The sequence below is a fragment of the Homo sapiens genome, chromosome 2 (genome assembly GCF_000001405.40).
Source record: "Homo sapiens chromosome 2, GRCh38.p14 Primary Assembly".
NCBI classification, from domain to species: Eukaryota; Metazoa; Chordata; class Mammalia; order Primates; family Hominidae; genus Homo; species Homo sapiens.
In genome coordinates, this window is record NC_000002.12 from 37,186,088 (window position 1) to 37,196,473 (window position 10,386).

Sequence of the window (10,386 nt, forward strand, 5' to 3'; positions counted from 1 at the left end):
CTTCCTTCCATCTAGGTTCCAACTTTCAAGTTTGTATTTGTCATCATGCCAGTGTCTCAGTCACCTTCCAGAAGCTGTTCCCTAAGTCCCAATCCAGTGGCTTTATGTTAGTAGCTGAGTTCTCTCTGCCTGTTGGGAATCTTGGTGGTGAACACTGCTGAAAGTTTTACTGAGACTGTGGTTCCCCCTTGAATACAGCCTTCCCTTCCCCGCTGCATTCTGGTGTGTCTAGGAGTGGGGAGAGGCTGTCTTCCATGTCTTTTTTCTGTCCAAGCCCTGAAGTCCTGAGGTAGACCATCCTCCCACTCCTTTCTTGCCTTCCCTGGGCAGGGAGTAGAACATCCTATCTCACATCCAAGACCCAGTTAGTTGTATTGGGAAGGTAAGTAACAACAGCTAGGGTGACCTGTTATCCCCTTCACACACATCAGTGGCGTACTCTCTGAGCTAATGCTTGATTCCTTCCCATCCCTTACACACACGTGAATCATAACTGAGATAGGGAAATCAAAAATCATGTCTGGCTGGGTGCGGTGGCTCATGCCCATAATCTCAGCACTTTGGGAGGCCGAGGTGGGAGGATCACTTGAGCCCAGGAGTTCATGACCAGCCTGAGCAACGAAATGAAACCCTACCTCTACAAAAAAAATTAAAAAAAATTAACCAGGTGTACTGGCACGTGCCTGCAGTCCCAGCTACTCAGGAGGGTGAAGCAGGAGGATCGCTTGAGCCCAGGAGGTCGAGGCTGCAGTGAGCCATGATCACACCACTGCACTGCAGCCTGGGCAATGAAGTGAGACTCCATTTCAAATAGAAATCATGGTTTACTAGGAAAAGACTGGTGATTCCTACTACCATCCTGCACAGGTCCATGTCTTCAGAGATGAGACTTTTCTGTTCATTTCCTGAGGTTTCTCAGCTTACTTTCCCCCTACTTAAAATAAAAAGAACAAAAACAGCCTGGCTATACAGTATAGTTGTTAAAAGCTCAAACTGGAAAACTTGGGTTCAAATCTTGGCTCTATCATTTATTAGTCCCTTGACCTTGGGCAAGTCCCTAGCATTTCTATCTTTTGTGAAATGGTAATAAGGTTATTTTGCAGAAAATGAGATGATACCTGAACAGTGCTGAGGATATGGTAAGCACACAGTAAATTGTGGTAATTATTAGCATTGCACTTTCTAAACTGAAAACTAAAGAATCTCCAAACCGGAAGAAATCTTTCTATGATAATTTGCTGTAAGGTTAAAGGCTGGTTGTACTAACCTGATATTTTTCTGAATCCCCACATTCAAGAACTGGGAATTCTGGATATTTATACTTTTTTTTAGAAACAGCATATATTAATTCACTGACAATGTGGAGAATCCAGTTTGAACCTATCAGAAAAATCAGAGAATAAAAACTCATTACGGAGTCTTGATATAACAAAAGGACGTTACTTTAGCATATACATGATAAAAATTAAAATCTACAACCATTCCCTGATGTGTATATTTAGTTCTTCTGTCTTTGAAATAACTTGGGCTATGGAAAGAAATGGTTTGATTGAAAACAGCATTTACCTATAATTAGTATAAAATTCAACTGAGAACAGATGGCTCCTTTAACAAGGGACAATGCTTCATTTTGAATCTAGAATATGTTTCTTATAGGACAATGTTATGTTATAGAAATAGTTTATTATAAGTTGTATATATTATTTTACATTAAATTAATATGTATTTTCTACAGGAATCTATAATTTTGATTTTATGAAAACACAGCATCAGTTAAGAAAAAAAGATATTAAATGAGGTTGGCTTTAGTAAACAACAGTAGAAAGAATCAAAAGGAGATGGTAGAAAGCAGGATCATCTAGATTCTTCATGTCTTATTTTCCGTTGATGAAGGATCTTTGTAAAAGTGATTTGAGAAACTGATGGAGCAATATTTGATCCTGAAAAATAATTTATAACATGGAAATCATCATGTAAATTATAGAAGTGGCTGTGCTTTTGTCCAGCCAGAAATCAAGACAAAATCACTGCTACTGTCACTGTTCCTTGCCAACTGGACTTTCCCACATTCATGCTCCTCCCTTCCAGGCCCGTCATCCACCCCCTTCTGCCCTCCATCCTCCATCATGGCCTTTCCGCACAGAGCTCTTCCTTCAGACACTGGAGTTTTTTAATCTAGCAGTTCTATTTACTGATTTTACAACCTACGTACTTAACCACTGTGGCCCTCCTCCTCACTGATGCTCAGACAGATTCCTGCAATGAGGAACCGCCTTCATCCCACCTTTGTCTCATACCCTCCCCAACCTACTCACTATGAGAAGTGTACTTGTAGGAAACGACTTGTCATTTACCGCACTTTGGATAAGATGCTAGCACGATGTCATCATGTCTGGCTTCGAAGGTGTCCAGCGCTTGGAAAGTTTCTGAGGTGCACATGGTGATGGGGTAAGGAATCCCCTGATAGGTGAAAAATAAATGAGAGAGTGCAGTTTCTTTTGATTTTTCTAAAGCTTCGTCAATGTATTCAATAAATTTGGATTTATCAGCCATGGTGGCTCCCTGTAAAAGAACCTGCTCTGTGGCTGTTCAGGGGGAGTGATTGCTTTTAATGGAGTTGGGCAGGGGCTGGAATAAAGGGCTCCTCCCAGTCACATGAAAAAGAAATCATTTAATTCTCATCCACCCCTCCCTCACTATTACATATCCTCCTGGGAAAAGCTAAACCACAGGTGCAAAACAGGCTGAGGATCAGGGAATATTACCCCAAGGGCTGATTACATGACCATTTCGGCAACCTGCCCAATGAAAGTAAGAATGGAATATCCTAATAGAAGAAAATATATATTAAATATCTAACAAATAGGTATTTAATCAGGCATGCAATTTTTCTATTAGAAATTCACAGAATGAAACCTCAGTTCTCTTCTGGGTTGATAGATTTCCACACATATCCTCTGTGGTGTGAAAGGAAGCAATGGGATTGTGAGGTAATTTGGTGGGGTGGAAAAGAGACCAGATTTGGGGGCAGTCTTAGGCACTCTCATTTACTGGCTCAATAGATACACAAGTCTAAAGACCTGAGTTTGAACCTTGACTCTACCATTTACTAGTTGTGTTACTCTGAGCTAATGATAATATATCTCTAAAAGTTTATGTAAAATTGTTAACAGTGGAAATGTATCTGAGTTACCCCATATGGGTCTGCAGTAACCTCAATTCTTGCCTCCTCAGAAGAAAGAATTGACTGAGGATGTAAGGCCGAAAAAGAGACTGAGGCAAGTTTCAGAGCAGGAGTGGAAGTTTATTAAAAGCTTTAGAGCAGGAAAGAAAGGAAAGCACACTTAGAAGACACCCAAGTGGATGACTTCAAGTACAAGTGCAAAATGTTTAACCTTGATGCTAGGCCTTCATAGGCTGGCCCACTTCCAGCATCTCACACCACTTTCCCATGATTCTTCCTTTAGGGTGGGCTGCCCTCCTTACCCCAGGGAAGTAAGCATGTGCAGTGTGTTTAGGAAGCTGTACACATGCCCATCTGAGGCTTTCTTCCCTTTTCTAGTGTAGTGCCCCCAGAAGGTCATACTACGTCATTGTGTCTCTTAATGCGTGTGCGGGGAAGGTGCTTCTCCCTGGAACATTTCCTAGGGTACGCTCTTTCTCTAGCAGCCACTCTCCCCTTTTTCCTTTGGGTAAGTTGGCCCACACTTCCCATCTCCCAGCAGCTTGGTGTGGCCCTGTGGCTAAAACAGTAAGTTGATGGCTCTCCAATTTTCTTTAGTGCCTTCCCCATACCTGGAAGGCAGATACTGTGTTGGCAAACCAGATTTGCTAATTCGGAGGAAAGCAGCACTCCAGGGGGTGGCAGACTAACAAGACAGAGGAAGCCAGCTTACTGGATGGCCTTGAGAAAGAGAGCCACCCTCCCATGACTCACACTGTGTAACAGGCCTCGTTCTGACCTGTATGTGAAAGAGCATAATTGTTCATCTTGTTTGAGCCACTGAATTATTGGAGTCTCAACAATTACAATTGCAATTACTCAAAAGTTATAGCAGTTTAGCCTATATCCTATCTGGTACATTTTCTGGGTCATAATTTACTCTTTGGCCTCTTGATAAGTCAAATATCTATAAATGTAGACTGTATATTTCTTCTTATTTCTCTCCCATTCTCTTCCCCACATCTTTCTTCTTATGCTTCTTCCATTTTTCTAAGAAGGTAATTTTTTTCACTGTATTTACCTTTCTCTTAACCAATGTTAACCAGTGAAGAAGATGACTTCTAGTTATTCTTAGTTACCAAGCTGTACTGTCATTCATGTATCAGTTAAAAGGGTAGCTAACATTATTGAGTACTTGCATGTACCACATCCCCTTCCAAATTGCTAAGATTACAGGAACGATCTGATGTAATTTCCTAACAGCCTTATGAAATGGGTGTTGCTTTGCTACCTTTTGCAGTTAGGTTAATTGAGGCCACAGGGGCTAAGTGGCTTCTAGAAGACGAGAGGTGAGGGTTGGCGGGAGGAAAAGCAGGTTTTAATCGGAGAGCCAGCAAACAGAGAAGATGGTGAACTAGTGTTCTAAAGTACCACCTTAAATTTTAAAATTGACCATAGCGTTTTTAAGGGGGAAATGTATGGGAGACATTTGGGAGTGGTACAGGATGCAGGGTCTGTATGTCTTGTTTCAACGGATATCTTGGGTAATTGCCTGTTTGGAGGTCTGGCTGGCATTATCTTGATTTCAGCCCAATGGTAGTGGAGAAAATGTTTGCGACTCCCCCTAAGCACAAGGATTCTGTAGTTGGGGCTCTGCACTTGGTTTGTTTCAAGATTAGCTTCTGGAATTTTTTAACCAAGAAAACAATTAGATAAACATGCATTGCCAGGGGAGAAGGTCTAGAGAGGGAAGGAATGAAGGGGTAAGAGGGGAGGGAAAGAAAGTGAGTGATTAAAAGATATTTTAAAAGCTGGGGTTCCTGGTTACAATTGCAGAGTCAGGATTTGGAGGGGCTAGGGTTGGAACGCAGGCAGTACAGCTAAGTCCAGGCAGAAAGACACTTACAATGAGATCTCAGAGGGCATAGGTTTAATTGTTAGTACCAGTGAATTCTTTGGTTCTTCTTTACCTGCTATGAGAAACAAGGCCATGGCATTTTTCACTGCAAAAAAAAAAAAAAAAAAAAAAAATCTTATTTTCTGAGGAGAGAGATTTTTAGGACCACAAGGGCAATAAATTTCCTGGGTTCTAGTGATGCAGGATGGCACATCCCCGCCTGGGCCTGGCTCAGCCTGGTGCCCCAGCCTGCCTATGTTATAGCTCATTCAGTCCCCTGCCTACTCAGGCCCATAGGCTCCACGGCTGGCCCAGCCTGGCTGCTGCTTTCCATTGTGTGGGTTGGCTGCAGGCACGAGCAGGAGGCAGAGGATCACAGTGTTACAGCCTTTTTTGTACCCACATTTGGCAGATCGCAAGTTCTTGTCCTGCATTCAAGAAGAATGAGGTTATGCTGAAAACCAAAGAGTGAGAAGGGCAGAGAAGAGTTTTATTGAACAATGGAACAGCTATCAGCAGAGATGGGAATCAAACAGCGTGGTCTGCCACCCTAAGGCAGGTAGCCCCCTTAGCCTGAAGGTGGGTACGAAAAAAACTGTAATACTGTATCCCCCACCCTTCACTGGTGTAGGGCAGCCGCCCCACATGAGGGAAGGAGTGACAGGGCCAGGCCAGCCCAGGAGCAGCAGCAGGGAGTGGAGCAATGGGACTAAAAGAGCTGTTAGCATGCTATAACACCCGCTCTGGGGATTGGGGTTGCTGGCATCCCTGTTTGGGTGTCACCATGTTCCCCTCATGCAGACACCATTGCCCAAGGTGGAAGCAGGTCGTGGCATGGCCGGCCCAGCAGCGGGCTGAGTGTGGATCCCACCGCAAGCACTGGATCTAGGTGGGAGTGCAAGCAAGTACAGCTGGTTGGGCTGGGTGCCTCCTGCAGTGTTGCTGGCATTAGAGGTTTCTGGCTGGTTAAGCAGCCAAGAAAAAACCTGCATCACTAAAACATTTTATTTAATAACAGCATTTTGGGACAAATACTATATTCAATATATATATCAATTGTAAGATGCATTCCTATTTCTGAAATGTAAACATATGTAAACATATGGAAACAAGTACATCTTGGAATTGAGGAAATTCTATATGTCAACAGAAAGTGAGAGGCAGGTGGTGGATGTGTGTCAGTACTTTTTAATCTCCATTTTACAGAGGGGAAAGAACTGACCAGAGAGGGTTCCTAGCTAGGCACAGGTATCCGGGTTTCATTATGTAGGTGAATATTTATTTTTTAAAGAAGCAGTATGTGAAAAGGTAAAATCAGAATATCTGAATATCTTAGTATTTTTATATTTCTATACATCACTCCCACTTGAAGGCCTTCTTGCCTTATATAATAATGTGATGATATTAGCTGTAGTTGCAAAGGTGTATTTAAGAATTTCCCTCCCCAAAAATAAAAGAGGAACAGGACTGAACTCCTTGCCAATCTGCTTAGCGGGATTATCCCTTACATTACAAAAAGTCTTTGTTTCCCTCTGGTCAGGTAGAATTTAAAACATTGATTCAAACATAGTTGTTGTTTGCTTGCTTGCTTCTTAGTGAGTAAAAAACTTAAAAAGACAATGGGTTGGATCTTGTTCTGACACTAATGCCTGTAATTATAGGAGGATTTAGGAGGCTCTTTGGGATTGGTAATGGGAACTCTGATTCTTAGTTTGTCTAGGCTTAGGTCAACCTGTTAACCTTACAGTTCTACATACTCAACTCTGAGTTGTCTGGCAAGCATAATGGAGGGAGGATACCAGCCGTGAATAATTACAGAATAACCTGTATCGTGTGATATGTTTGAACTGTCATACGTATGAGTCCAGGTGGGTCTCATGTTATATGAAGTCCTAGCTTCTTTCAGCTCCTTGTGTCTTACCCATATTGGAGATAAATTACCGCAGACCTATCAGGCTTTGCCAGCTGTGGCCTGGCTCAAGCCCCAGAGGCAGCTGCATGGGAGGCTTATTTAAAGTTTCTTTCCGCCTGGGTGTGGTGGCTCACACCTATAATACCAGCACTTTGGGAGGCTGAGGCAGGCGGATTGCTTGAGCTCAGGAGTTTGAGACCAGCCTGGCCAACATGGTGAAACTCTGTCTCTACTTAAAAAAAAAAAAAAAAAAATTGCCAGGTGTGGCGGTGCGTGCCTGTAGTCCCAACTACTTGGGAGGCCAAGGCAAGAGAATCGCTTGAATCCGGGAGGCAGGGCTTGTAGTGAGCTGAGATCGTGCCACTGCACTCCAGCCCGGGTGACAGAGTGAGACTCTGTCTCAAAATATAATAATAATAAAATAAAGTTTATTTCCTTGGCATTAAAGACACCATGCCCTCTTACCTTCTTTTCCTTTGTTTTTTTCCAGTCTATAGACATTTACCAAAAAAAAAAGAAGAAAAAGAAGAAGAAGAAAAAGAAGAAGAAGAAGAAGAAGAAGAAGAAGAAGAAGAAGAAGAAGAAGAAGAAGGAGAAGAAGGAGAAGAAGGAGAAGAAGGAGAAAATATGAAAAGAAATGTCTAGGCTTTAAGGTGAAGATGGGAGAATGGACAGCAAACCTAGTACATATTTGTTAAAGTGGAGGTCCCTATGGCCACTACAGAAGACTGGGATTTTAGCCTGCTTCTGTGCTTTGGAGAGAACTAGCACATCTTTCTAGTCATTTGCATCCCTCTACCAGAGTTAGTAAATCAGGCTAGGACCAGGAAGGCACTGTCGCTAAAGGACCCTTGGTAAAAGTTTCTACTGGAGTCTACACTTTTCCTGCTCCAAACCTTCTGGCCAAAATGTGTCTTATCTCAAAATGTCAAGCTTTGTGCAATATCGTTATTAGTTTATATATATTTTCCTGCAGAAATCATGACATTTCTATACAATTATTTTAGTCTTTCTTATAATTTCTGTTTTTTCGTGAAAGAAATTTTATATTTATATAGTTATATTTGATGTAGTTGAAGATTCAGTGGTTAGTTCTCATCCACATTGACTGTCTGTAGATTTTTTTTTTTTCGAGACAAAGCCTTTTTCTGTCACCTAGGGTGGAGTGCAGTGAGATCTTGACTAATTTTTTGTATTTTTAGTAGAGACAGGGTTTCACCATATTGGCCAAGCTGGTCTTGAACTCCTGACCTCAAGTGATCTGCCCATCTTGGCCTCCCAAAGTGCTGGGGTTACAGGCATGAGCCACCGTGCCTGGCTGACTATCTGTAGATTTTTGAAAGTGGTAACAGGTACATAGGTAATCAAAGTACAGAGCTTATTTGGTGAATCTTCATCCTCATTACATCCTCTGGACAGCTGCACGCGGATACGGTACGGGACATTCCTTATTCCTTTGGCAAAGACAACTTTATTGAGCCTGGTATCAATGCACACATCTGGAGTTCCCATCTCCTTCATTGCAAAATTTCCGGATCTCTTTGAGTGCCTGAGGGACATGCTTCTTGAAGCCCACTCTGTGGATGTGCTTGTGAATGTTGGTGTATTCTTGGGTCATCACCTCGTTGATGGCAGAATGGTCCATTTTCTTCTTGCCACTGTTCTTTGCAGGAGCCATTCTGCTAGGCCCAAGTTGGTAAAGCTTGTTATCATTTCTTTAAGCTTTTTTTCTCCTCTTTTCTTTTTTTCAATCTGAACCATTCCAATGACCTTTTCTTCTTTCTCCTTCCTTCCTCCCTCCCTCCCTCCCTCCCTCCCTCCCTTCCTTCCTTCCTTCTTTCCTTCCTTCCTTCCTTCCTTCCTTCCTTCCTTCCTTCCTTCCTTCCTTCCTTCCTTCCTTCCATTTTTGAGACACAGTCTTACTCTGTCGCCCAGGCTGGAGTGCAGTGGCACGATCTTGGCTCACTTTAACCTCTGCCTCCTGGGTTCAAGCAACTCTCCTGCCTTAGATTTCCGAATAGCTGGGATTACAGGCATGCTCCACCTCACCCAGCTAATTTTCATATTTTTAGTAGAGATGGGGTTTCTCCTTGTTGGCTAGGCTGGTCTTGAACTCCTGACCTCAGGTTATCTGCCCACCTTGGCCTCCCAAAGTGCTGGGATTACAGGTGTGAGCCACCGCACCAAGCCCCAATAGCTTTTTCATCTTGCTTTGTCATCCTGGTACTTTTAACACTGATATTCTGGTATTTCAAACCAATGTAGTGGAGCCTTGCTATATGGTCTGAAAGTTTTTGTTCTCCCTAAATTCATATGTTTTTCACAATTTATGATGCTTTAGTTACACAGATGAACCACATGGGCTGGACTAGGGGTGGGGCGGGTGTTAGGAAAATTGGGGCAATCACAGAGCACCTTGCAGAGGCACTTCCTTTACTTGGCGTGGACAGAGTTAGCTCCAGCTATCACCCCTTCTCTAAAACCTTTACAGATTCCTCGGATTAGAAGCAAGGCCCTTATCATTGTGTACTTTCCATCAGTTATTTGTGGTAAATACCCCTAACTAGACTAGAACTTCGATGAAGGTAGATCTGTGCCTGTTTTGGGTGTTCCAGGCTTTGTCTTGCACACGGTACTTCAATATACTTTTATATTCTTTTTCTCTTCTCTGTTTCCATGTCCCCTTCGCGCTTTCTCAAGTGTTACTTTGCAAACGAATTCTTTAGGGATCTGGCTAAAATGCAGTTTCAGATTCAGTAGTTCTGCATTTTTTTTTTTTTGAGACAAAGTCTCACTCTGTCGCCCAGGCTGGAGTGCAGTGGTGCGATCTCAGCTCACTGCAACCTCCGCCTCCCGGGTTCAAGCGATTCTCCTGCCTCAGCCTCCCCGGTAGCTGGGACTACAGGCGCATGCCACTACGACCAGCTATTTTTTTTTAAACGTATTTTTAGTAGAGACGGGGTCTCACCGTGTTAGCCAGGATGGTCTCGGTCTCCTGATGTCGTGATCCTCCCATCTAGGCCTCCCAAAGTGCTGGGATTATAGGCGTGAGCCACCGCGCCCGGCCTAGTTCTTCATTTCTAACAAGTTTTCAGGTGATGCTTATGTTGGTAGTCCTCTGAGACTATCACACTTTAAGTTTCAGGGTGTTAGAAAAACGACCCAGAACAGGCTACACGTAGTCAGTTTCCTGGGTTTAAATGTGAATTCTGATTTTACTAACTGCGATTGTGGGCAGTGTAAGCCTCTTGCTTTCTCCGTAAAATGAGATACACTCAGCACCTGTTGCATGTGTTATTGCGAACATTCCGTAAAATAATGTACATAGAGGGCAGTCAGGTTCGGGTCGCGGTCAGAGTACAATTAATAGTAATTACGAATGTGGGGGCGGAGCCGACAACGGAAGGGGTGGAG

At 43.0% G+C, this 10,386-nt stretch overlaps 1 protein-coding gene and 1 pseudogene across 2 annotated transcripts in view, besides 3 other annotated features; both read right to left on the minus strand.

The window, feature by feature from the left end:
• Window positions 1–10,000, minus strand: part of SULT6B1 (sulfotransferase family 6B member 1) — a 28,268-nt gene extending 18,268 nt beyond the window's left edge. The window contains exons 1-4 of one of the 2 annotated variants that reach the window (NM_001032377.2): window positions 9,941–10,000; window positions 5,070–5,166; window positions 2,355–2,460; window positions 1,268–1,380 (exon numbers count right to left, since the gene is read on the minus strand). In NM_001032377.2, the coding sequence (NP_001027549.1) occupies window positions 1,268–1,380; window positions 2,355–2,439 (198 nt within the window). In that variant the 5' untranslated portion in view covers window positions 2,440–2,460; window positions 5,070–5,166; window positions 9,941–10,000. Of the gene's footprint in view, window positions 1–1,267; window positions 1,381–2,354; window positions 2,584–5,069; window positions 5,167–9,940 lie in introns of those variants that run through there. The other variant, NM_001367551.1, reaches the window with a different exon arrangement.
• Window positions 3,064–3,589: an enhancer, noted in NCBI's record as "H3K27ac hESC enhancer chr2:37416294-37416819 (GRCh37/hg19 assembly coordinates)". NCBI's record gives its function as "activates a minimal SCP1, AML or CMV promoter by ChIP-STARR-seq in primed H9 embryonic stem cells {active_cell/tissue: H9 hESC(primed)}" and the evidence as "EXISTENCE:reporter gene assay evidence [ECO:0000049][PMID:30033119]".
• Window positions 3,590–4,114: an enhancer, noted in NCBI's record as "H3K27ac hESC enhancer chr2:37416820-37417344 (GRCh37/hg19 assembly coordinates)". NCBI's record gives its function as "activates a minimal SCP1, AML or CMV promoter by ChIP-STARR-seq in naive and primed H9 embryonic stem cells {active_cell/tissue: H9 hESC(naive and primed)}" and the evidence as "EXISTENCE:reporter gene assay evidence [ECO:0000049][PMID:30033119]".
• Window positions 8,307–8,672, minus strand: RPL31P16 (ribosomal protein L31 pseudogene 16; annotated as a pseudogene).
• Window positions 10,243–10,382: a silencer, noted in NCBI's record as "silent region_11355". NCBI's record gives its function as "represses an Ori minimal core promoter by ATAC-STARR-seq in GM12878 lymphoblastoid cells {active_cell/tissue: GM12878}" and the evidence as "EXISTENCE:reporter gene assay evidence [ECO:0000049][PMID:35858748]".